The sequence below is a fragment of the Homo sapiens genome, chromosome 19 (genome assembly GCF_000001405.40).
Source record: "Homo sapiens chromosome 19, GRCh38.p14 Primary Assembly".
Lineage (NCBI taxonomy): Eukaryota > Metazoa > Chordata > Mammalia > Primates > Hominidae > Homo > Homo sapiens.
The window spans coordinates 38930895-38956793 of NC_000019.10; the positions used below are offsets into that span (position 1 = coordinate 38930895).

Here is a 25899-nt window from a genome sequence, read left to right on the forward strand (position 1 = left end):
CAGTGACGCGAGGCAGAACCAGCCAATCCCTGCACGGATAGCGCCCGGAAGAGGCTAGAAGCTGGATTCAGCGTGTCCGCGACCTCACCTTTAGGTCCTGTGAGGTCGGTGGAATCCTGGGGTCCTCCAAATCTACCAGGCCATCTCCCCAGTTTCCCAGTTCTTCCTGCGTGCGGGCGAGAGTGGTTGGGCCCTCGGGAACCCACTCAGAGCGAGGCTAAATTTACGGAGGGACTTTCTGTTAGCAGCATGAGGGCCTGTGGTTAGACCTATAGAGGTATTTCCTTTGATTTAAGCCAGAAAGTCCTGAGAGCGGATCGGGGAGCATTTGCGGATCGGTCACTTTTTCCTCCTTTCTGAGTCTCTTATCCCCTACCACAGGGACGGCCCAGGTGGCAGGATGTCCTGGTCTGGCCTTCTCCATGGCCTCAACACGTCCCTAACTTGTGGTAAGTGGGGGACTTGGGCTTCAGGGACGAGGCTAGAGGGGGAGGGTTATTCGCTCTTGGACTTGTGTGCCTCCGTCGGAGCCCCGAGGGAAACGGGGGTGGAAAAACACGGTGGGGTTTTGGCAGAGCTAGGGCTGCTAGAGCAAGAGGTGGGAAGCAGCTGCATGGAGGGCTACTGCGTGTCAAGCGGCGTTTGGGTCAGTTTTATTATTTATTTATTTAAGATCTCCCTCTGTCGCCCAGGCTGAAGTGCAGCGGTGTGATCACAGCTCACTGCAGTCTCGACCTCCTGGGCTCAAGTGATCCTCCCGCCTCAGCCTCCCAAGTAGCTGGGACCACAGGCCTGCAGAACCACAACCAGCTAACTTTTTGATTCTTTGTAGAGAGGGAGGTCTCCCTGTGTCGCCCAGTCTGGCCTTAACTCCTGAGCTCAAGTGACCCTCCACAGCCTCCAAAAGTGCTAGGATTACATGCATGAGCCACTGAGCCTACTATTATTTTAAACAGCATTAAAAATAATGCTTCCTGGCCAGCCGTGGTGGCTCACGCCTGTAATCCCAGCACTTTGAGAGGCCGAGGTCAGGAGTTCGAGACCAGCCTGACCAACATGGTGAAACCCCGTCTCTACTTAAAAATACGAAGATTAGCCGAGCGTGGTGGTGGGTGCCTGTAGTCCCAGCTGCTCAGGAGGCTGAGACAGGAGAATTGCTTGAACCCAGGAGGCAGAGGTTGCAGTGGGCCAAGATTGAGGTACTGCACTCCAGCCTGGGCGACAGAGTGAGACTTTGTCTCAAAAAAAAAAAAGAAAAAAAAAAAAAAGGTAATGCTTCCTTGAAGAATAAAGAGTTACTTTTGTCTGTAGATAACATTAGATGTGAACAAATGCATCTTTGTAAAGTGCTTTAAACAATGCCTAAAACACCAAAATTGAGTTGCTACTACTCTAAGATCTGTTCTCTGGGATAATAACCCCTTTCGGCCCTCTCCAGGCCCAGCTCTGGTTCCCCGGCTCTGGGCTACCTGCTCCATGGCTACCCTGAACCAGATGCACCGCCTGGGGCCCCCCAAGCGGCCGCCTCGGAAGCTGGGCCCCACGGAAGGCCGGCCGCAGCTGAAGGGTGTGGTCCTGTGCACGTTTACCCGCAAGCCGAAGAAGCCCAACTCAGCCAATCGCAAGTGCTGTCGAGTGCGGCTCAGCACTGGCCGCGAGGCCGTCTGCTTCATCCCTGGGGAGGGCCACACCCTGCAGGAGCACCAGATTGTCCTTGTGGAGGGCGGCCGCACCCAGGACCTGCCAGGCGTCAAGCTCACCGTTGTGCGTGGCAAGTACGACTGTGGCCACGTGCAGAAGAAGTGACGGCTGGGGGCACAGTGGGCTGGGCGCCCCTGCAGAACATGAACCTTCCGCTCCTGGCTGCCACAGGGTCCTCCGATGCTGGCCTTTGCGCCTCTAGAGGCAGCCACTCATGGATTCAAGTCCTGGCTCCGCCTCTTCCATCAGGACCACTATTAAGCCATAGGAGTCCTGGGGGTGCAAAGGGTGCCCCTCTGTCAACACCCTTGGCTCCTGTGTTTAGAGGGGTGGCCTGAAGGACCTTTTCTGCTGGGACAAGACACTGTACTGCCCTCTGCTGGGAAGGGGTTTTAATAAACAGACCCTGGCGCTTGTGATGTAAATCCCCTTGTGGAGTATTTGCCCTCTGTGTGGCTGTGGCAGTGGACATCTCTGAGCTTCAGTTTCCTCCAGAAAATAGCTCCATTGGTGGTATCTCCTTTGTTTGGTTTGGTGAAGATTAAATTCGATGCTCTATGTGCATAACACGCACGGAGGGCTCTTTTTTTTTTTTTTAGACAAAGTCTCACTCTGTTGCCCAGGCTGGAGTGCAGTGGCCTGATCTCAGCTCACTGCAACCTCTGCCCCCCGGGTTCATATGATTCTCCTGCCTCAGCCTCCCGAGTAGCTGGGATTGTAGGCACACACCACCAGGCCTGGCTAATTTTTGTATTTTTAGTAGAGACAGCGTTTCACCATGTTGGCCAGGCTGGTCTCAAACTCCTGAGCTCGGGTGATCTGCCCACCTTGGCCTCCCAAAGTGCTGGGATTACAGGCGTGAGCCACCACGCCTGGCAGAGGGCTACTGTATTTTAAGCTTAGGAGTCAGGTAGGTGGCACAGAGGCCCAGGTCTTCTTCCTGCAGGCCATGGGTTCTGGGCACATAAACTCTGCCCTCAAGCATGGACAGCTGGAAAATGGCAGTAATTGTAATGTTGATGTGGAAGGGGTGTGGAAAGGATTCAATGGGGTGTGCTGCTCCACACCCGGGAGCTGTTCTTTTATTTTATACGTGTGTGTGTGTGTGTGTGTGTGTGTGTGTGTTTGTGTGTGTTTGTGTAGAGAGAGAGACAGAGTCTCACTGTGTTGTCCAGGCTGGAGTGCGGTTCTATGATCAAAGCTTACTTCAGCCTTGACCTCCTGAGCTCAATAGATCCTCCCGCCTCAGCCTCCTGAGTAGTCAGGACCACAGGTGTGTGCCACCACACCTGGCTAACTTTTCCATTTTTTTAGAGTGGGAATCTGGCTTTGTTGTCCAGGCTGGTCTCGAACTCTTGGCCTCAAGAGATCCTTCCACCTTGGCCTCCTAAAATGCTGGATTATAGGTGTGAGCCACTATTATATTATATAATAATATAAAATTATTACTGGGTTCACCTGAGCTCAAATTCTGCTCCCCGTCATAATTGCTATGAGACCTGGCTATGTTGGTTCCCCCTATGGGCCTCGGTTTCCTCCCTTGGAAAATGGCACTGATGATAATGCTGACTGCACCTGATCATGTTTTTGGCCATGTAAGATTTAAGAAGTGGGGCCAGGTGCAGTGGCTCATGCCTGTAATCTCAACACTTTGGGAGGCCGAGGTGGGCCGACCACTTGAGGTCAGGAGTTTGAGACCAGCCTGGCCAACATGGTGAAACCCTGTCTCTACTAAAAATACAAAAATTACCCGGGCATGGTGGCATGTGCCTATAATCTCAGCTACTCAGGAGGCTGAGGCAGGAGACTTGCTTGAACCTGGGAGGTGGAGGTTGCAGTGAGCTGAGATCAGCACCACTGCACTGCAGCCTGGGTGACAGAGTGAGACTCTGTCTCAAAAAAAGAAAAAAGAAAAAACAATGTTGGAACTGTGTTTATATCATTGGGCTCTGGAGCCCAGCACTGCTCCAAGCCCTGCCTCCCCTACTTACTGGCTGGGTGACCTTGGGCAGGTTGTTTACACTCTGAGCCTGGACCAAATGGCGCTGATAAGGGTGCATGCTTGAGAGCTGTTTGGAGCATCATAGCTGTCTCCGAGTTCCTCTTGACGCTCAACACACAGCCTCCTGAGGGTCTCCTGATTGTAAACATGAGGCCACAAGGTCTTTTAGGATCAGAGCTGGTGGCAGATAAGTGCACTGATTACAGATAAAAATTGCCCATCCCCTCATATTTGGCACCAGTTTTATTGAGCTAGTTTGTTGGCCATGCCTAGCTGAGAAATAGAGAAGTGGAGGGAGATGGGGGGATGGGAGAGCTTTTCCTCATGGCACACTCTGCTCCAGGAGTCTGTATACAGGAGTGTGGAGAAAAGGAAGTGTTACCTTGCAGGAAGTTGCCCCCAAAGCAAGGGCAGGAGGTGGGGGTGGGGGACTTGGCCTCTGATGGAATTCTGGAATTCTGATGAGAGAGGTGCTAGCCTGACCTGAACAGGAGATGCTGACAGGCAGTGCTGGGCATGTTGCACAGAGATGGCTGGTTACACAGCCCCGTGGCAGGATCCCAGAGTGCCGAGACCAGCTGGGTCGTGGAGACCCTAACCCAGTGGCGCTAGAGGAATTAAAGACACACACCCAGAAATACAGGGTGTGGAGTGGGAAATCAGGGGTCTCACAGCCTTCAGAGCTGAGAGCCTCGAACAGAGATTTACACACATATTTATTGACAGCAAGCCAGTGATAAGCATTATTTCTATAGATTATAGATTAACTAAAAGCATTTCTTATGGGAAATAAAGGGATGTGCCAAAATAAACGGATGGGCTCTGGCTAGTTATCTGCAGCAGGAACATGTCCTTAAGGCACAGATCGCTCATGCTATTGTTTGTGGTACAGGAACCCCTTTAAGCCGTTTTCCATCCTGGGTGAGCCAGGTGTTCCTTGCCCTCATTCCAGTAAACCCACGACCTTCAGGGTGGGGGTCATGGCCATCATGAACATGTCACAGTGCTGCAGAGATTTTGTTTATGGCCAGTTTTGGGGCCAGTTTATGGCCAGATTCAGGGGCCTGTTCCCAACATGTCCCCTTTTTTGTTTTGCAAAGTGATAAAAGCAAAGGCAGCTTTGTCACGGTGAGCTACTTCTCACAGGAGTCAGGATCCGCATCTGCACACTATACAAAGACAAACAACACAGAGTAAAAGCACAATCATCATTGAAATCACAGAGCCTCCAAGTGTTTTTATCCATTTGAATGGGTTACTAGCTGCTAATCTGTCTGCAGCTCCTTCAAGCACTCCAGTTCCTGGCATTAAGTTCACGTGTGCCTGGGATACTTTAAATATTTGTTCTTTCAATTTTGCAATATCCAAATACAAGTTTGTAGAGTGGCCTTCTAGATGCTTTTTTATTCTTTCCCAAATTTTGATTTTATTAAGAGCTATTAACAGTTTCCACAAATGCTTATGTTTAGCTCCTAGAGCAGGCCATATCATTTGAGGCTGAGGTGCCACTATACTGCCATGGTTCCAGATAATAGGAACTCTTGCTGTATTTCTTACCATTTCTATCATCTGACCATTTTGTTCAGATGAGCTGATCACAGTGTGGCCATGGCATGCAGACTGAGAGGTGCAGTTCAAGCTAAACATCCCCATAGGTGACCAATTAATAATGATTCCATAGGAATTGTTGTGCAGCACCTCTGCCTGTTCTGCAAAGCAATCTTCCTAAACAAGTACGTTCATTTTTGCTAACTGGGTCCAATCCTGTTTACAAATATGTTTTTGAGGGCAGTATGCCTCAATTATAGGAGCAGATTTATTATGAGATCAGAAAGCTTGTATAACTGTGTCATAGAGTGATTACATCCAGGCATTATTGCCAGCCAAGATTGATAAATATGCCCAATAAGTATAATTGTCCTCTGTGTCAGCCCTTATTGAAGGAATACTCATGGCAGTGGTGATCATCGCTATCATAGCTACCATTAAATTACTCATTGCGACTGGTTGTCCCACTTTCCTCAGGTTTTCTTCCACCATCTGTGACAGCTTCTTGATCTGTCTCCAGGTGGGTGGCTGTGTTTGACAGGTGTTGCTCGTGACAGTTGGGGTCTTCCTCAGCGTCAGTCTCGACATGGCTGCAACCGGGGGTGGGGGGGGTCCTCAGTTTCCTCCCGGAATCTCTTCCTCAGCATCTGGCTCATGATAAGGTTTCAGGTGTCTTGATGGTATCCAAATCGGCTGTTGAGTCAGTCCTGGAGAAACACAAGCATAACCTCTACCCCAAGTTATTATTTTACCTATTTCCTAACTTTTTGTTATTGGATCTCTCCACCAAACTAGTTGTTCTGCTTCTGTCTTTGCAGCTGGTTTCTGTAGATGCTGTTCAGCTACTGATAGGATCTGGCCTTTAGGCAGGCTCAAAAAATTTAAAGTTAACAATGCTAGATTCAGTTGCATATGGGGTGTCCCGTAGTCCTTGTTTTCCCCCCTTTTTTTTGCTTTTGCAACTGCTGTTTCAGGGAGAGATTCATTCTTTCCACTATGGCTTGTCCTTGAGAATTATATGGGATACCAGTAATGTGTTTAATATTCCGTATAGAGAAAAATGTAGCTAGAGCTCGGCTAGTGTAGCCTGGGGCTTTATCTGTTTTAATAGAAGCTGGAATGCCCATCACTGCAAAACACTGCAAAAGGTGACGCCTGGAAGAGGTGTATGAGCCCTAATGTGAGTGATGTAAAAAGGGTGCATTCTACTCCTAACTGCTGTTTGCAGTTGGGTAAATAAAATCATCAGTTGTTCATCTGCAGGAAATTGTAACTGAGCATTTTCAGTTAATTGTGTGGAATGAATCACGTATGAAGAGTCAGAAATCACATTAATAGGCATATGAAAAGCAGTCACTACCTCAATTACAGCTACAGGCTCCACTTTTTGAGCTGAAGTATAGGGCATCTGAAAAACTTTACTTTTTGAGCCAGAATAAGAAGCTTTACCATTACTAGACCCATCTGTAAAAACATTTTCAGCACCTTCAATTGGTTTAAATTTAGTTATTTTAGGGAGAATCCAATTAGTTAATTTCAAAAATTAAAACAGTTTTGTTTAGGAAAATGGTTATCGAGAATACCCACAAAGTCAGCTTAATTGGTTTGCCAAGTAAGACTATTTATAAAAGCTTGCTGTATTTGTGCCTTTGTGAGAGGGATAATAATTTTTCCAGGATCATATCCATGTAATTTAACAATCCGAGTTCTCCCATTTCCTATCATAGTAGCAATTTGATCCAAATAAGGAGTTAGAGTCCGTGAATTAGTATGTGGAAGAAAAAGCCACTCTACAAGATCTCACTCTTGAACAATAACACCAGTAGGTGAATGCTGAGTTGGAAAAATTAGCAAATCTAGAGTCTTCTCTGGATCTAATCTATTTATTTGAGCTTTATGGACTTGCTTTTCGATTAGCCGCAGCTCTGCCTCAGCTTCTCTTGTTAATTACCGAGGGCTTGTGAGACCAGGATCTCCTCTAAGGATAGAAAATAGATTACTCATGGCATAGGTAGGAATGCCTAGAGCAGGTCGTATCCAATTAATGTCCCCTAGTAATTTTTGAAAGTCCTTTAATGTTTTCAATTGATTCCTATGTATGGTTGCTTTCTGTGGCACAATGGTAGTGTCATTTACTAAGGTCCCCAAGTAGGAGTAAGGAGTAGTAGTCTGAATTTTGTCAGGAGCTATAATTAAACCAGCGCAAGAAATCGAATTTTGTAAGTGATCATAACATTGGAGTAATACTTCTCGAGTGGGGGCAGCACAAAGTATATCATCCATATAATGAATAATGTAACACTGTGAAAACTTTTAACGAGTAGGTTCAATTGCTTGCCCTACATAAGTCTGGCAAATTGTTGGGCTGTTTAACATGCCTTGTGGCAATACTTTCCAGTGAAAACGCTTAGCAGGCTGCAGGTTGTTTACTGCAGGAATTGTAAATGCAAACTGTTCACAGTCTTGCTCAGCTAAGGGGATAGTAAAGAAACAGTCTTTTAAATCTATGACTATTAAAGGCCAATTTTTTGGAATCATAGCAGGAGAAGGCAATCCTGGCTGTAATGTACCCATGGGTTGTATAACTGAATTAATGGCTCTTAAGTCAGTTAACATTCTCCGTTTATCTGATTCTTTTCTTAATTACGAAAACTGGAGAATTCCAAGGGGAAAATGTTGGAGCTATGTGTCCGTTTTCTAATTATTCAGTAACTAATTCCTCTAAAGCCTTCAGTTTCTCTTTACTTAGCGGCCATTGTTCTATCCAAATTGGCTTATCTGTTAACCATTTTAAAGGTATAGGTTCTGGAGGCTTAACAATGGCCGCCATCAAAAATAATATCCTAAACCTTGGCGGAAACTTGTATTTCTGCTTGAAGCGGTTCCTTCAAACCTTGTAAATTTTTTCCTAGTCCCATACTAGGGACATACCCCATTTCATGCATCATATGTTGACTTTGAGGGCTATATAATTGTTCTGGAATTAGAACTTGTGCTCCGCATTGTTGTAATAAATATCTTCCCCATAAATTTATAGGTACAGAAGTTTTGGTTGAATAGTCCCAGGTTGTCCATCAGGCCCTTCACAATGCAAAATATAACTACTTTGATATACTTCAGGGGCTTTACCAACTCCAACTATGTTAAACTGAGCAGGTTGAATTGGCCATGTGGACGGCCATTGCTATAGAGAAATGAAATGTCCGCTCCTGTATCTACCAAACCTTTATATTTCTTTCCCTGAATAGTTATTTCACAGGTAGGACGTTTATCAGTAATTTGATTCACCCAATAAGCTGTTTTGCCTTGTTTATTTGTGCTTCCAAATCCTCCTGTTCGTTTAATTTCACTTTTTCCCATTCCCACATATGGCACATTCAGGAGCTGTGCTATGCGCTCTCCTGGCTCTGCTTTCCAGGGAACAGAAGTAGAAAAAACAATTTGAATTTCTCCATTGTAATCTGAATCAGTGACTCCTGTTTGTACTTGTACCCCCTTTAAATTTAAACTACACCTCCCTAGAAGTAATCCTATTGTCCCCACTGGCAAGGGTCCACAGACCCCTGTTGGAACTTTTTGCGGGGGTTCCTCAGGCAGAAGGCTCACAGCTTTTGTGCAGCATAAATCTACTGTGGCATTACTGGCTGTGGCAGGGGACAGACATTGTACAGGGGTGAAGGAGTGGCCTGAGGCGGAAATGCCCCTGGTTTCGAACAGGGCCCGGGATGGGCCCCTCATGGCATTTCCCGAAATCGGGTTCCCATCTTTATCAAACTTAGAGTGACACTGATTAGCCCAATGTTTTCCTTTTTTTACATTTTGGACATATATCAGGCTCAGCAGTTTTCTTTTTTCCCCTGTCTGCCGGCCTGACTTGCTGATTTTTTTCTGCATTCTTTTTTAGTGTGCCCATGCTTCCCACAGTTGAAACAAGCTCCAGGAAATGGAGTATTTCCTTTATCCACTTTCAGTCCTGCCATTGCCTGTGCCAACAAAGTAGCTTTATGCAGATTACCTCTGATACCATCTCAGGCCTTGATATAATCAACTAAATGTGCTTTCCCTCTAATAGGTCACAGAGCAGCCTGGCAATTGAGATTAGCATTGTCAAAAGCTAATAACCGCAACACTATATCCTGAGCAGCCGAATCTGCAATCACCTTTTTAAGATACTCCTGTAACCGAGCTATAAAATCTGTGTACGGTTCTTTTGGTCCCTGTTTTACAGCACCAAAGGAAGGGTACTGTTCTCCACCTGAAGTGATTTTTTCCCAAGCTCTGATGCACACTCCTCTAAGCTGCTCTATGGCATCATCCTGCATGACCACCTGTGCATCTAAACCAGCCCAGCCGCCGACCCCCAAAAGTTGGTGTGCAGTTATATCAATTTGAGGTTGGGCCTGGGTGTTGCGAGGAGCCTGAATGGAAGCTTCATCTGCCCACCAAGTTTTAAATTGTAAGAACTGAGCAGGAGTTAGACAAGCTCAAGTAAGAGCGTCCCAGTCAGGAGGAATCATCCGACTGGAAACAGCAACATTCTTTAACAGTCCCGTTACAAAAGGAGAACCTGGTCCATATTGATTAATAGCTTGTTTAAATTCTTTGAGTAATTTAAAAGGAAAAGGCTCAAATGTAGCTGTAATATTTCCCTGTTGATCTGGGGGATGTATTCTAACAGGGAACTGCCAAGCCTCTAAATCACCCTCTCTTCTAGCTTGCTGAATTCCTGCCTGAATGGAACTGAGAGCAGTCGCTTGAGGCACTGCCCAAACAGTCACTGGGGCAACTACTTTTCACCCAGTGTCCTCTGGAAAAGAAAGATCTGGAGGGTCAGGTCACTCTTTTTCTTCACACTAAGGAGGGGATGCAGAAGGGTAGGGATGAACCTCTTCCTCCTTTGCCACTTTAGCTTTAGCTGGCAAACAAACCTGCTCTGTTACCTCTTCCATTACTTCATTACACTCTCCCTGCTCCTCATCAGTGTGAAAAGGTTCCAAGGTGGAATGAACCAGAACCCACACCTGTCCCATTGCTACCCTGATGCTTCCGAGCTCCCCTTCTTACTCACCATGGGGATTGCTTAAGAGTACTCGGGTGTCCTCCAGCTTAGTTCCACGTTCTCCAACCGTCGCTCCAGTGACTCTTCGACCTGGGTTCGAGCCCCCACGTATGGGTGCCACTTGCCGAGACCAGCTCGGTTGTGGAGACCCTAACCCAGCGGTGCTAGAGGAATTAAAGACACATACACAGAAATATAGGGTGTGGAGTGGGAAATCAGGGGTCTCACGGCCTTCAGAGCTGAGAGCCTTGAACAGAGATTTACCCACATATTTATTGACAGCAAGCCAGTGATAAGCATTATTTCTATAGATTATAGATTAACTAAAAACATTTCTTACAGGAAATAAAGGGATGGGCTGAAATAAAGGGATGGGTCTGGCTAGTTATCTGCAGCAGGAACATGTCGTTAAGGCACAGATCACTTATGCTATGGTTTGTGGTTCAGGAACCCCTTTAAGCGGTTTTCCGCCCTGGGTGGGCCAGGTGTTCCTCGCCCTCGTTCCAGTAAACCCACAACCTTCAGGGTGGGGGTCATGGCCATCACAAACATGTCACAGTGCTGCAGATATTTTGTTTATGGCCAGTTTTGGGGCCAGTTTATGGCCAGATTTGGGGGCCTGTTCCCAACACCAGAGATTTCCCCAAACAGCAGATGACTTTGTTAGTCTCAAGGACAGACTGCCTCAGCGGACCTCTGCTCCCTGCCCACGATCATTACCCCCAAAACATGCCGGCAAGTCTCTGCTCCCTGCGTCGGCAGAGGGATTTATAAGCCCTCTCTTATAAATCCTGGTTTAGCCTTTGTTTTGTGACTGAGTCCACCGAGATCCTTGCAGGAGAAGAAAATTTGCAGGCAAATGAACTAAATGTCTCTTCCTGACACTCCCCTTCTGGGGGGCTGAGGAAGCTGTGAACAGCCTGGTTTGTCACACAGCATGATGGCCACCACACTGAAGCAGCAGCAAGCAGATTCATGGAAGGTGTGCTGAGAACCAGCCACCTGGGAGCCCTACTGTCCCTGGGTATCCTCTGGCTTCTGGCTGCAAAGCTGGTCTTTTTTTTTTTTTTTTTCATTGATATAGGGTCTTGCTTTCTCACCCAGGCTGGAGTGGTGGTGAAATCACGGCTCACTGCAGCCTCAACCTCCTGGTCTCAGGCAATCCTCCCACCCAAGCCTCCTGAGTAGCTGGGACTACAGGCGGCACCACCATGCCTGGCTAATTTTTTAAAAATTATTTGTGGAGACGGTTTCACTATGTTGCCCAGGCTGGTCTTGAACTCCCGAGCTCCAGTGATCCTCCCACCTCGGCCTCCTGAAGTGCTGGGATTCCACAGGTGTGAGCCACTGCACCTGGCTGCAAGGCTGGTCTTGACTGACAACGTCAGGCAGTAGTCCAGTCGCTAGGACAGACGGATCCTGACCCTCACACTGGAGTGGGTCACAAGGGCGCCATAGTGCCCCACCCAGGAACTCACGTCTCTCCCGTACTGCTCAAAAGATACGTAGCGGATGCCCTTGCCAAAGTTGGTGAAGACGTGGGAGACCTGCAGGGGGAAGGGGAGTGAGAGGGTGAGGGCCTGCGGGCCCCTTCTCTTCCTCCACTTCAACAGATAGGCCCAAAGGACTGAGGAGGTGCCAGTCCTGCGCTAGTTTGCTGGGGACGGAGCAGTGAATAAAACCGGAAAAGGACCCCGCCCTGGTGTCAGTGCCATTCTAGCAGGGGGCCCAGACACTGGAGATAGGTGGGGGTGAGGGGCCAGGGGCATTCTGCCAGGAAGGTGGCAGGAATGTGAGTAGAGTGAGTTAGCAAAGGCCCCACAGAGGTGACACCTGAAGGAGGAGAGGGAGCCGGGAGGGGCTCTGGAGGGTGTCCCAGGCAGCAGGAACGGCCCGCGCAAAGGCCCTGAGGTGGGAGAATGCCTGGAGCTGAGTGAGGGGAGAGGTAAGAGAGGGGTCAGGGAGGTCATGGGCAGATCATGGCCTTGTGGGCCACAGGAGGACTTTGGCTTTTTTTTTTTTTCCAATTTAAAAAAGTTGAGATAAAATTTTCGTAAAACAAACTTTTTATTTATTTATTTATTTTTGAGATGGAGTCTCACTCTGTCGCCCAGGCTGGAGTACAGTGGCATGATTTTGGCTCAATGCAACCTCCACCTCGCAGGTTCAAGCGATTCTCCTGTCTCAGCCTCCCGAGTAGCTGGGATTACAGGCGCGCACCACCATGCCCGGCTAATTTTTGTATTTTTAGTAGAGACGGGGGTTTTGCCATGTTGGTCAGGCTGGTCTTGAACTCCTGACCTCAGGTGATCCACCCGCCATGGTCTTCCAAAGTGCTGGGATTACAGGTGTGAGCCACTGCGCCCAGCCAAAATTTACCATTTTATTTTATTTATTTATTTTGAGGCCAAGACTCGCTCCATCGCCCAGGCTGGAGTGCAGTGGCATGATCTCAGCTCACTGCAACCTCCACCTCCCCCGGTTCAATAAATTCTCCCGCCTCAGTCTCCCCAGAAGCTGGGATTACAGACGCCCATCACCGTGCCTGGCTAATTTGTGTATTTTTAGTAGAGACAGGGTTTCACTGTGTTGGCAGGCTGGTGTTGAACTCCTGCCCTCAAGTGATCTGTCCGCCTTGACCTCCCAAAGTGCTGAGATTACAGGCATGAGCCACCACACCCGGCCCAAAATTCATTTTTTAAAGTGTACAATTCAGTGGTTTTTAGTTGATTCACGATATTATGCAGCCATCACCACTACCTAATTCCCATCACCCCAGGAAAAAACTCTGCATCCATGAGCTGTCATTTCCAAGACCTCCCTCCCCCAGCCCCTGGCAGTCGCCAATCTTCTTAGTGTACATTTCATATATGTGGAATCATACAGTATTTGTCATTTCATGTCTGGCCTCTTTCAGCATCATGTTTTCAGTTTATCCACGTTGCAGTGTGAATTCATGCTTCATTTCTTTTCCGTGGCTGCATAACTTTGGCTTTTACTGTGAGATGTAGCCACAGGAGCATTACAAGCAGTGAGACTTCTGATCTGACTCATTATTATTATTATTATTATTATTATTTTTAGTTAGCGTCTCAGTCTGTTGCCCTGGCTGGAGTGCAGTGGGACCAACTGGGCTCCAACCATCCTCCCACCTCAGCCTCCTGAGTAGCTGAGACTGCAGGTGCAAGTCACCATGCCCGTCTAATTTTTAATTTCTTTGTAGAGATGGAGGTCTCGCTATATTGCCCAGGCTGGCCTCAAACTCCTGCCCTCAAGCTGTCCTCCCATCTTGGCCTCCTAAAGTGGTGGGATTACAGGTATGAGCCACTGTGCCCAGCCGAAACATTTACTTTGGTAACTGAGGTGTGAGGATCAAGACAGCATAGTCTTGGTGCCAGATTGGGCTTGAGTCCAGCTCTGCACTGGACCAGTCACATAACCTCCCTGTCTGTGCCTCTGTTTCCTCAACTCTAGAATGGAGATAGGATTTTGCTTCACTGCTGCATTTCCAGCACATAGAGTGGTGCCCAGCACACAGTAGGTGCTCAATCAGTGTTTGTTGAACATTAAGGGGTTTTGCTAATGAAATGAATCGATATGTAAGCGTCTTGACACAGGGCTTGGGATGTAAGAAGGGCTCGATACTTCTTAGCTGTTATGATTATAGATATCCAGGAGTGACAGAAGGGAAACCGAGCAGACGAGAGGCTGGGCGTGTGTGCCTTTAGCGGGTCGGGGGGAGCTGGAAGCTAGTCTGGACCCACCTGTCGGCAGCCCCTCTCAGTCCACTGAAGGACCGGGTCAGGTGAGGCTGAGAACTTGACCACTTCCTTTTCATACACATCCAGAAGGCGGACCCGGAGCTGGTAGACGCAGCCGCAGTTCTCTCGAGCGCCCCACCTGCCAGGCAGCAGTCAGCCTCTATGCCCCCGTCACCCAGCCAGCTCTCTGGGTTTCGGGGCGGGAGGCTGAGGGCTGGCTCCATCTTGATGAAGGTCCTGCACATCTGGACCACATTTGGAGACGTCCTGGCCTGGGAACCTCTAGGGGAGGAGCCTTGGTGGTTCTGGGGTGGAACCAGAGCCTGGCGGAGGAGCCTGGGTGGTCCTGGGGAGGAGCCAGAGCCTGGGGGAGGAGCCTGGGTGGTCCTGGGGTGGAGCCAGAGCCTGGGGGAGGAGCCTGGGTGACCCTGGGGTGGAGCCAGAGCCTGGGGGAGGGTCCTGGGTGGTCCTGGGGGAGGAGTCTGGGTGGTCCTGGAGTGGAGCCAGAGCCTGGGGGAGGGGCCTGGGTGGTCCTGGGGGAGGAATCTGGGTGGTCCTGGGGTGGAGCCAGAGCCTCGGGGAGGGGCCTGGGTGGTCCTGGGGGAGGAGTCTGGGTGGTCCTGGGGTGGAGCCAGAGCAGGGGAGGAGCCTGGGTGGTCCTGGGGGAGGAGCCTGGGTGGTCCTGGGGTGGAACCAGAGCCTGGGGGAGGGGCCTGGGTGGTCCTGGGGGAGGAGCCTGGGTGGTCCTGGGGTGGAACCAGAACCTGGAGGAGAAGCCTGGGTGACCCTGGGGTGGAGCCAGAGCCTGGGGGAGGAGTCTGGGTGGTCCTGGGGTGGAGCCAGAGCAGGGGAGGAGCCTGGGTGGTCCTGGGGGAGGAGCCTGGGTGGTCCTGCGGTTGATTCTGGAGGCTTTTGGGTAGGTAGTTGGGGGACGGGAAAGGATGCTCTGGGGAAGAACCACAATGCAGGGCAGGTGCCTGATGACTTCAGGGAAGAGCCAGAGCCCCAGGGAAGAGACCAGATTTTCTATGGAAGAGCCACAGCCTGAAGGAGGAGCTGGAATGCTTTGGGGCAGAACCTGGGTGTTTTGGGAAGAAGGCATTCATCCTAAGCCTGTAGGCTCTGAAGCCAGTCCTGTCCCAACTATGCTCCCTGAGCCTCAGCTCACAGGGCACCATGCTCCCACCCCTTCAGAGACCCTGGGCATCCACAAGGTGGTCAGGGGAGGTGTCTCGTTTCAGAGGGGTATCAAGCCAGTCAGTGGCCCCCTGTGGACCACCCCAGCCTGCTGGGATGAGGGTGGGCAGGAGTGCAGAGTGGGGGCTCTGGCTTCTCCAAAGCTCTACCTTCCCCGGCTCTGCATCACTTCCCCTCTCAGCCTCATCACAAAGGGTGCACAGTGACAGCCGCTACCCGTGGGGTTGATGGGGCGGGAAATGAGCCCCTGTTGCAGAGCCGCTGCCAAGCCTGCTGCTGCTCTGGGGCAGGGTGCCGCTCCTCACTCACCAGTCAGCCACACAGATCTCAATCTGGGCGCTGTCCAGCAGCTCCTGCCACACCCCTTCCATCACCAGGTCCACAAGCTGCCTCTTGGAGCACCATCTGGGAAGGAGAGATGGCAGGGGGCAGGGCAAACAGTCCTGGCATTCAAGTCACAGTCAGAAGCCACCTCCTCCAAGAAGTCTCCCTTGATAACCCTCTCTAAAGCAGCCCTCAGGGTTTGCTCTAGCAGACCTGAAGATGCATGATGGGCTATACATCTCTCCTTGGCCTCTTGGAGTCCCTTTGCCATTCTCCACCCTGCTGCGGGCTCCAGGCAGCTGACCTCTATGAAAGCCTGACCCTCATCTTTGTGGGACAGGACATGACTACAAATGAAGGCCACATACTAGACATGTGAGCGGGGAGCTCTGTGGCCTCCTAAAGTGTGAGGGCCCCGGGTCTAAAGCTGGACAGCCTTGTCTCTGTCACCCATTGCTTCCTGTTGGATCAGCCAATGGGATGCTCCGGCAGGGGATGGAAGTGAAAGAGGTGACTAAAATCAGGGTATTTATCCTCTTAGGTCCTTCTCAAGGGACTGCCTTGTCCCCCAAGGAAAAAGCAAATCTCCATGGCACTCTCTCCTCATTTTCCAGTAACTGTTTCCTCCCCTCACCTCTAGCAGTCTAGGGGTGGTAACGTTCCTTTCCTAACTGTTACTAGCTCAGGGGCTCCTGCCTACAACTTTGTAAACAGTCCTTCTCCTCAAACTAGAATGTGCCATAATAACATAAATTGTGCAGTATTGGTGGAAGGATGGGTAAGTTGAGCAATGGAATAGAACAAAGTGCCAGGAACCGGCTGAGCGCGGTGGCTTAGACCTGTAATCCCAGCACTTTGAGAGCCCGAGGCAGGCGGATCACCGGAGGTCGGGAGTTAGAGACGAGCCTGGTCAATATGGTGAAACCTCTTCTCTACAAAAAATACAAAAATTAGCCAGGCATGGTGGCGCACCTCTGTAGTCACAGCTATTCGGGAGGCTGAGGCAGGAGAATCATTGGAACCCAGGGAGGCAGAGGCTGCAGTGAGCCAAGATTGCGCCACTGCACTCTAGACTGGGCAACAAAATGAGACTCTATCTCAAAAAACAAAAACAAAAACAAAAAAAACAGAGTGCCAGGGACAGACGTAGGTATACACAGAAACTTCATAAACTGTAGAGGTGGCACCATCATTCCATGGAGAACAGATTCTCATTTTTTCTTTTCTTTTGAGTCAAGGTCTTATTCTGTTGCCAGGCTGGAGTGCAGTGGCATGATCCTAGGCTCACTGCAACCTCAAACTCCTGGGCTCAAGAGATCCTCCCACTTCGGCCTCCCAAAGTGCTGGGATTACAGCTATGAGCCACCGTGCCCGGCCTTCAGTTTCCTGTTATAAAGTGGGGGCAATAATAGTATCTATGTCACAGGGTTGTTGCCAGAATTATATGTAAAGTGTCTAGTATAGAGTAACTCCTTGTGGAGGCAAAAGCGACTCCATCTTGGGTGCTAATCTGCCATGTTCCCTTTTTTTTTTTTTTTGAGACAGAGTCTCATTCTGTCGCCCAGGCTGGAGTGCAGTGGTGCAATCTCGGCTCACTGCAACATTTGCCTCCTGGGTTCAAGCGATTCTCCTGCCTCAGCCTCCACGTCCAGCTAATTTTTGTCTTTTTAGTAGAGACGGGGTTTCCCCCTGTTGGCCAGGCTGGTCTCGCACTCCTGACCTAAAGTGATCTGCCCACCTCGGGCTCTCAAAGTGCTGGGATTACAGGCGAGAGCCACCGTGCCCGGCCCAAAACCCTGTCTTTAGATCAAAGCTGTCTTGCTGTTGTCTCACAAACTGCAGGCGATGATGCACAGAGCATTGCTGCCTGTGGTTGCTAACCTTCCTGATCTTTCCTTGTATCCCTGGCATATGAAACAGTACCCTCAACAAGTATTTGTTGATTGATGGAATGAATCAATGAATAAATAAATGGGGGAAGGAGAGGGTGAAGGTGACGATGAGGACAGTGTGGGGGGTAGGGTCCCTTTCTTTGGGGCCTTTGCCCCAGGGATCGGGGCCTCTCACTTGGGCCACTCACTCGAAAGAGGTCACGAAGCAGGTCTGCGAAGGAGCCCCAGGCACCGGTGTTAGGTTCTTTTCTATGGCCCAGCCGTTCCCGCCATGCTCCACCTCCCAGCCTCTGAAGCCCTCTGTGGGAAAACAAGAGTTGAACATATGGTTCACCTGCCAGCCTGCCCAGAAGAGACCCCGCAACCAGCCAGCTTGTGCTGTCCACCAGCCTCTCCCTCTTGTGCTCCAATCCTCCCTGGTTTCTCCTACCGACTCCTCCTCCCATTATTCTGTATTCCTGGTCCTACCCCACAACTGTGACTCTCAGCGGTGCCCATCCACTCAGCTTCTCTTCAGCCACCCTTACTTGCTCTTTCTCCTTCAGTCCTGCTCTTCATTGTGTGTGTGAGAGACAGGGTCTCACTCTGTCGCCCAGGCTGGAGTGCAGTGGCTCCATCATAGCTCACTGCAGCCTCAAACTCCTGGGCTCAAGCGATCCTCCCACATCAGCCTCCAGAGTAGCTAGGACCACAGGTGCATGCCACCACGCCTGGCTAATTTAATTTTTTAATTTTTTTTTGAGATGGAGTTTCAATCTTGCTGCCCAGGCTGGAGTGCAATGGCATGATCTCAGCCCACTGTAACCTCCGCCTCCCAGGTTCAAGCAATTTTCCTGCCTCAGCCTCCCAAGTAGCTGGGATTACAGGCGTGCACCACCACACCTGGCTAATTTTGTATTTTAGTAGAGATGGGGTTTCACCATGTTGGTCAGGCTGGTCTTGAACTCCTGACCTCAAGTGATCTGCCCCCTCGGGCCTCCCAAAGTGCTGGGATTACAGGCGTGAGCCACTGCGCCTGGACTAATTTTTAAATTTTTTAGAGACAGAGTCTCACTTTGTTGTTCAGGCTGGTCTCAAACTCCTGGCCTCAAGCGATCCTCCCACCATAGACTCCCAAAATGCTGGGATTACAGGCGTGAGCTACTGCACCCCACCATTTTTTTTTTTTTTTGAGACAAGGTCTCTGTCACGCAGGCTGTAGTGCAATGGCACGATCATAGCTCACTGCAGCCTTGAACTCCTTGGGCTTAAGCGATCCTCCTGCCTTGGCCTCCCAAAGCGTTGCCATTCCCACCGCGCCTGGCCCCTGTCCTGTTCTGCATCCCCTCTGCATACCAAACTACTTGCTTTCTCCCCCGGCCCAGCCAGGGTCTTCCTGCCTTGCCCCGCCCACTCGTTCGGATTCCCGGCTTCACCTTCTCCAGCCCCGCCCACCGGGCCTACCGCCCAGGCACTGCGTCCCTCAGCCCCGCCCCCTGGCTCCTCCAGCGGTCTCGCCCATTGGCTACATCTCTCAGACTCTGTCCCGGCCCCGCCCCCGCCTCGCTCGCGCGGCCCCCCTCAGCCTCCTGGGCCCCGCCCCCGTCACCCACGCTCTCCGCAGGAGTTGAAGATGAGATTGCGGCCGAAGGGCGCGCGCAGACAGTAGCGCGCCAGGGCGCACAGCGGGAACTCCTCCTTGTCTTCGTTGCTGGGCAGGCAGCGTTGAGCCACTGCGTAGAGTGCGCGGCCCTCGGCGCTGCGGTCGCGGGCCAGCTGCAGCAGCCACACAGTGGGCCCGTCCACTATGTCGCGCCAGGCGCGGCACACTGGGCGGCATCGCGTGACCAAGGAGCGTGGCGGCACGTGGCTCAGCACCTGCACCAGCAGCTCCGGGGGCAGCGCGTCCAGGGCCAGGGATGGGTCCGCCGGCAGCCGTCGCCGCGATAGCCGGGCGCCCATCTCCAGTAGCCAGAGTCCTGCAGGTCGAGAGGGGTCGGTAGGCGGGTCAGCGCAGCCAGGCCACCCCCTCCCTACCTTGTCCCCCAGGGCGCAAGGCCCCTGCTGCTCGAGAGACCCCATTAGGTCCATGGGCAACCAGGGACCCATTTCCCTCTCTGATCCTAGGCCTTTCCCAATCTTCCCCACTTGGGTAAAAGACCCCTGGTCTGACTCTGACCCCCGTCAGGACCGCTGATCACGGCTTCCGTCTGGCGTTCAATTGTGTCAGGCTAAGCGCTTCAGGTATATGACCAGTGAAATGGCAAAAGAACTAACATAACTAACCCCATTTTTGTTTAAGGGGACTTTACCCATTCCTGCACATGGCTAGGTTAATTTTAGACCGCTGAGATAATATGCAAAAACAGCAATCATGTAGTTTTTAAAACTAACTCTGGGATTAAAGAAGTATGTAAACAACTATGTTTTGTCAAAGATTTTTTTTTTTTGAGACACAGTCTTGCTCTGTTGCCCAGGCTAGAGTGTGCAGTGGCACGATCTTGGCACATTGCAACCTCCGCTTCCTGGGTTCAAGCGATTCTCCTGCCTCAGCCTCCCGAGTAGCTGGAACTACAGGCGCCCGCCACCACGCCCGGCTAATTTTTGTATTTTTAGTAGAGACGGGGTTTCACCATCTTGGCCAGGCTGGTCTCGAACTCCTGACTTCGTGATCCACCCACTTCGGCCTCTCAAAGTGCTGGGATTACAGGTGTGAGCCACCACGCCCAGCCTGTTTTTTCAAAGATTTATAGGGGCATTGTGACCCAACCAAGGACAAAGAAGTCATCAACCTCCTCGGACCCTAGCTGGCACTCAGATGTCTGCAGTGGTCACCTCCTTATTTTTATTATTATTACTTTTTTATGGAGCTAGAAACCAGGACTATAGCCTCTACCTCCTGGGCTCGAGTGATCCTCCTGCCTCAGCCTCCCAAGTAGCTGGGACTATAGGTGCATGCCACTATGCCCAGCTAGTTTTTTATTTTATTTATTGTTTTGTAGAGATGGGGTCTCACTACATTGCCCTGGCTGGTCTTGAATTCCTGGGTTCAAGTGATCCTCCTGCCTCAGCCTCCCAAAGTGCTGGAATTGGTATGAGTCACTGCGCCTGGCCTGTTGGTCACCTCTTGATCACAATGCCCTTCTCTTCCCTCTGCCCCTAAAAAAAAAAAAAATTGTACTGATTTAAGATGGTACTTTAGGATGATAGTCCACTGTGTTCTCGGTTTGCTGGCTCTCCAAATAAACTTGCTTTTCCTCCCACCAACTGTCATCTCTCTTGAGTTTGGCTTTCTATTTTTTTTTTTTTTTTTGAGGCAGCCTCACTCTGTCACCCAGGCTGGAATGCAGTGGCCCGTCTCGGCTCACTGCAACCTCTGTCTCCCAGGTTCAAGTGATTCTCCTGCCTCAGCCTCCCGAGTAGCTGGGACTACAGGAATGCACCACCACACCTGGCTAATTTTTGTATCTTTAAGGAGAGACAGTTTCACCATGTTGGCCATGCTAGTCTCGAACTCCAGACCTCAGGTGATCCACCCACCTCGGCCTCCCGAAGTGCTGGGATTATAGGCTTGAGCCACCACGCTCGGCCCGAGTTTGGCTTTCTTTTCTGAAACCGAGTCTTACTCTGTTGCCCAGGCTGGAGTGCAGTGGCACAATCTTGGCTCACTGCGACCTCCGCCTCCCGGGTTCAAGCGATTCTCCTGCCTCAGCCTCCCAAGTAGCTGGAATTACAGATGTGTGCCACCACACCGAGCCAGTAATTTCTGTAGTAGAGATGGGGTTTCACCATGTTAGCCGGCTGGTCTCAAACTCCTGACCTCAAGTGATCCACCTGTCTCAGCTTCCCAAAATGCTGGGATTTCAGGCGTGAGCCACCACGCCTGGCCTGAGTTTGGCTTTTGAGTGTTGAGCGGCCAAACCTCAGTCGGGTTACAGACCCACAAGGAAACCCACTGCGGAAGAAACCATTTCTACCCCATACCCCAATGTGTGCCAGCTACTGTGACCTTTGGAACCCATGACCCATCTTCAACAAAATCTCTTCTTGCCTCAGTTACTTCTCTGAACATTCCTACCACCTTCTTGCTCTAACTGGAACCCAGCTCTCCTGTGGGCCTTCCAAGTGGGGAGGTCTCCGTGCTCCTGGGAGCTACTTCCTGACCATTCTCCCTCCACCCTCCCCAAAACCCCCAGCGATGAATCTCATCACTACCTTGCTTCATGCGTCATCTGCTGACCCAGATCATGACTCCTCTCTTCTCCCTAATTTTAGCTCTGGGCTCACGGCCGCTCCCGCTGCTCTTAGCATCATTCTCAGTGATTTCTATAACCAGATAGTTCTTCCGCAGCCCCAACCTCTCTGTTCCCTGACCTCTCTCTAGTGACTTTTTCCTTCCCCAACATCTCCCTCTCGTGGTCAAACCCAGACCTTGTTTGAATAACAGCAGCCTCTTCAGAACCTCAATCTCACACTCACTCTCCACCCATCACTTTTTCTTTCCACCTCATTCCCTCCAGTGCCCCACTCGCATGATCCTTCCAACCCACTGTGATCTCCCATCCGTTGTCCCTTTCATATTTTACTCCCCCTCACCCTCCCATGCCCTCATTTCTTCCTTAGCCAGCTTAAATTCCATGGTTAATCATTAAAAACATTCTTGACCTGGCACGCTGGCTCATGCCTGTAATTCCAGCACTTTGGGAGGGCAAGGTGGGAGGACTGCTTGAGGCCAGGAGTTTGAGATCAGCCTGGGCAACACAGCGATACTCCACCTGTACAAAAAATAAAATGAAAAAATTAGCCGGGTGTGGTGGTGCACACCTGTAGTCCCACCTACTCCAGAGGTTAAGGTGGGATGATCGCTGGAGCCCGGGAGTTGGAGGCTGCAGTGAGCTATGATTATGCCACTGTACTCCAGCCTGGGCAACAAAGCGAGACCCTGTCTCTAAATAAAATAAAAAGAATAGCAAAAAAAGTGGGGCTGTAGCTAGAAGGGGAGGTGAAGTCAAGAGAGGGTTTGGGCTGGGCACGGTAGCTCACACCTGTAATCCCAGCACTTTGGGAGGCTGAGGTGGGCAGATCACTTGAGGTCAGTAGTTTGAGACCAGCCTGGCTAACATAGTGAAACCCCATCTCTACTAAAAATACAAAAATTAGCTGGGTGTGGTGGCGCACCTGTAATCCCAGCTACTCGGGAGGCCAAGGCAGGAGAATTGCTTGAACCCAGGAGGCAGAGGTTGCAATGAGCTGAGATCGCACCACTGCACTCCAGCCTGGGCGGCAAAGTGAGACCCTGTCTCAAAACAAAACAAAAACAAAAACAAAAAAAGAGAGAGGGTTTGTTTTGAGATGGGAGACAGGATGCTGTGTGGGCTAACAGGAGATCCAGTGCATGGGGGAAACTGAATGAGCAGCAGAGAGAGGTGAGAACCAGGGACGGTGGCTGGAAGTGGGCGGGAAGGTGGGAGCAGGTGATGGGACAGTCACAGCAGGAGAACGGGTGTGGGCAAGGGTGCAGGTAGGTGGTAGAGGCGGGGGTGGCTGTGGAAGTTCACTTCTCATCTCTTGCATTTTCTCTGCAAAATAAGAAGCCAAGGGAGAGTGAAAGGGGGGGAGGAGGTGTTGGAAAGGATTAGAGGAGAAGGGAAAAGGTGTGAATTAGTTGTCTAGAAGACAGGAGGAAGGAGGGGATCAGAGAAATGTCATATGGCTGCCAGGCAGCATTGGGGTCCGCCTGAGGGTCAAGTTCACAGACTTGAAATTAGCCTGGCCAGGGGGCTGTGTTGTTTTTTAGCTCACTCAAGCTGTGTGGGTGCAGGCACGGCAGAGAGGAAGGCTGGATTTAACCAGGGTCTCATGCAGGAGGAAGCCAAAGTGGGCAAGGGTGTGTGCAGAGAATGTGTTATTTTTTATTTATTTACTTTTTTGAGATGGAGTCTCGATCTGTGGCCTAGGCTGGAGTGCAGTGGCGCGATTTCAGCTCACTGCAACCTCCACCTCCTGGGTTCAAGCGATTCTCCTACCTCAGCCTCCCAAGTAGCTGGGATTACAGGCCTCTGCCACCACGCCTGGCTAATTTTTATATTTTTAGTAGAGACAGGGTTTCACCATGTTGGCCAGGCTGGTCTCGAACTCCCGAACTCAGGTAATCCACCTGCCTCAGCCTCCCAAAGTGCTAGGATTACAGGTGTGAGCCACTGCGCCGGGCCGAGAATGTGTTTTTTTTTTTTTTTTTTGAGACAGAGTTTCACTCTTGTTGCCCAGGCTGGAGTGCAGTGGCGCGATCTCAGCTCACTGCAGCCTTCACCTCCCAGGTTTAAGCAATTCTCCTGCCTCAGCCTCCTGAGTAGCTGGGATTATAGGCGCCCGCCACCACACCTGGCTAATTTTTATATTTTTAGTAGAGACAGGGTTTCACCATGTTGGCCAGGCTGTTCTCAAACTCCTGACCTCAGGTGATCCGCCCACCTCAGCCTCCCAAGGTGTTGGGATTAACAGGCGTGAGCCACTGCGCCTGCCCTGACAATGTGTTATTTTATTATTATTATTATTATTATTATTATTATTATTATTATTATTATTATTTTTGAGACGGAGTCTTGCTCTGTTGCCCAGCCTGGAATGCAGTGGTGCGATGTCGGCTCACTGCAAGCTCCGCCTCCTGGGTTCACGCCATTCTCCTGCCTCAGCCTCCCGGGTAACTGAGACTACAGGCGCCCACCACCATGCCCAGCTAATTTTTTTGTATTTTTAGTAGAGACGGGGTTTCACCATGTTAGCCAGGATGGTCTCGATCTCCTGACCTCATGATCCGCCCGCCTTGGCCTCCCAAAGTGCTGGGATCACAGGCGTGAGCCACTGCAACTGGCCTTTTATTTTTATTTTTGAGACAGGGTCTTGCTTCTTCACTCGGGTGGGAGTGCAGTGGTGTGATCATGGCTCACTGCAGCCTCAACCTCCCAGGCTCAAGTGATCCTCCCACCTCAGCCTCCCAAACTGCTGGGATTAGAGGCATGAGTCACCGCATGCAGCGTCTTTGTTTCTCTTTGTGGTAAAACTTCTCAAAAGAGCTGTCTACCCAGTATTTTCTGCTTCCATTCTTTCTAAAACATTTTCTTTCTTTCTTTTTTTTTTTTTTTTTGAGACAGAGTCTCCCTCTGTCACCCAGACTGGAGTGCAGTGGCACAATCTCAGCTCACTGCAACCTCTGGCTCCCAGGTTCAAGTGATTCTCGTGCCTCAGCCTCCTGATTAGCTGGGACTACAGGTGCGTGCCACCAGGCCCTGCTTATTTTTGTATCGTTAGTAGAGACAGGGTTTCACCATGTTGCCCAGGCTGGTCTTAAACTCTTGGGCTCAAAGGATCCTGCTGCCTTGGCCTCCCAAAGTGCTGGGATTATAGGTGTGAGCCACTGTGCTCGGCTCCAGCTCCACTTCTTGCTATAAATTATATGACCAATGGCAAGTCACTTAATCTCTTTATACCTCAGTTTCCCTTTCTGAAAATGGGGCTGCTAACGGTGCCTCCATCATAGGGCTGTTGTGAGGATGAAATGAGTATTTTAAAGCACTTAGGAAAAGCCCCTGTAGGCTCCTAAATAAGAGTGATATTAATTTAATATTAGTCCAGGCATGGTGGCTCACACCTGTAATCCCAGCACTTTGGGAGGCTTAGGTGAGCGGATCACCTGAGGTCGGGAGTTCAAGACCAGCCTGGGCAACATGGCGAAACCCCATCTCTACAAAAAATACAAAAAGTAGCGGAGCGTGGTGGTGGGCACCTGTAATCCCAGCTACTCAGGAGGCTGAGGCAGGAGAATCACTTGAACCCGGGAGGTGGAGGTTGCAGTGAGCTGAGATCGTGCCTCTGCACTCCAGCCTGGGCGATAGACTGAGACTCTGTCTCAAAAAAAAAAAAAAAAGATGATGTCAGGAATTTTTGCTACATTCATGGACTACTTGCCTGACACAGGCTTATTTCTTTTTTTTAAGTAAAACCTTAATTTGTTTAAAAATGACAATAGCTGACATGAATTGAGCACTTATTGGGCACATGAAGATAACAAGCATTAGATCATTAAAGCCTCTTAACCAAGGGCATCCTCAAAGGAGAGTTTTGCCCATTAAACAAGATGATAGAATTCATGAGCTGATCCAGCTTAAATGCTCAGCACCGTGGCTTAATAAGGGCCAATAAATGCCACTAAATGAAAATGTCACAGCTAAAATAGTTGCTGTCAGCCAGGCACAGTGGCTCATGCCTGTAATCCCAGCATTTTGGGAGGCGGAGGTGGGTGGATCACTTGAGGTCAGGAGTTCAAGACCAGCCTGGCCAACATGGTGAAACCTGTCTCTACTAAAAATACAAAAATTAGCCAGGCATGGTGGTGGGAGCCTGTAATCCCAGCTACTCAGGAGGCTGAGGCAGCAGAAT

The 25899-nt window shown here is 50.3% G+C and overlaps 2 protein-coding genes and 1 long non-coding RNA gene across 7 annotated transcripts in view, besides 2 other annotated features; 1 reads left to right on the plus strand and 2 right to left on the minus strand.

Annotated features, from left to right (window-relative positions):
* MRPS12 (mitochondrial ribosomal protein S12) lies at positions 50-2274 on the plus strand. Of its 3 annotated transcripts, none has more exons than NM_033362.4 (3): positions 50-104; positions 382-449; positions 1439-2274. In NM_033362.4, the coding sequence occupies exons 2-3, from the start codon at positions 401-403 to the stop codon at positions 1804-1806; spliced, it is 417 nt and encodes a 138-aa protein (NP_203526.1). In that variant the 5' UTR covers positions 50-104; positions 382-400; the 3' UTR covers positions 1807-2274. The 3 variants fall into 3 exon arrangements, with proteins under 3 accessions (NP_203526.1, NP_203527.1, NP_066930.1); NM_033363.1 differs by having other exon boundaries at positions 60-277; positions 1439-2126; NM_021107.1 differs by having other exon boundaries at positions 60-449; positions 1439-2126.
* On the minus strand, positions 3929-10504 carry LOC124904713 (uncharacterized). Its single transcript, XR_007067253.1, has 2 exons — positions 10320-10504; positions 3929-5958 (listed from the first exon to the last, which is right to left on the minus strand). It is a non-coding gene; the product is annotated as an uncharacterized LOC124904713 (long non-coding RNA).
* FBXO17 (F-box protein 17) overlaps positions 10507-25899 on the minus strand; it is a 34342-nt gene continuing 18949 nt past the window's right edge. Inside the window, exons 1-6 of one of the 3 annotated variants that reach the window (NM_148169.3) lie at positions 21679-21793; positions 19077-19442; positions 17673-17784; positions 15578-15673; positions 14075-14210; positions 10507-11857 (exon numbers count right to left, since the gene is read on the minus strand). In NM_148169.3, the coding sequence (NP_680474.1) occupies positions 11714-11857; positions 14075-14210; positions 15578-15673; positions 17673-17784; positions 19077-19442; positions 21679-21688 (864 nt within the window). In that variant the 5' untranslated portion in view covers positions 21689-21793 and the 3' untranslated portion in view covers positions 10507-11713. Of the gene's footprint in view, positions 11858-14074; positions 14211-15577; positions 15712-17672; positions 17785-19076; positions 19443-21678; positions 21794-25899 lie in introns of those variants that run through there. The other 2 variants (NR_104026.2, NM_024907.7) reach the window with 2 other exon arrangements.
* Positions 19011-19070: a silencer, noted in NCBI's record as "silent region_10590". NCBI's record gives its function as "represses an Ori minimal core promoter by ATAC-STARR-seq in GM12878 lymphoblastoid cells {active_cell/tissue: GM12878}" and the evidence as "EXISTENCE:reporter gene assay evidence [ECO:0000049][PMID:35858748]".
* Positions 21915-22209: a silencer, noted in NCBI's record as "tiled region #3914; K562 Repressive non-DNase unmatched - State 12:CtcfO". NCBI's record gives its function as "represses a minimal TATA promoter and a strong SV40 promoter by Sharpr-MPRA in K562 cells {active_cell/tissue: K562}" and the evidence as "EXISTENCE:reporter gene assay evidence [ECO:0000049][PMID:27701403]".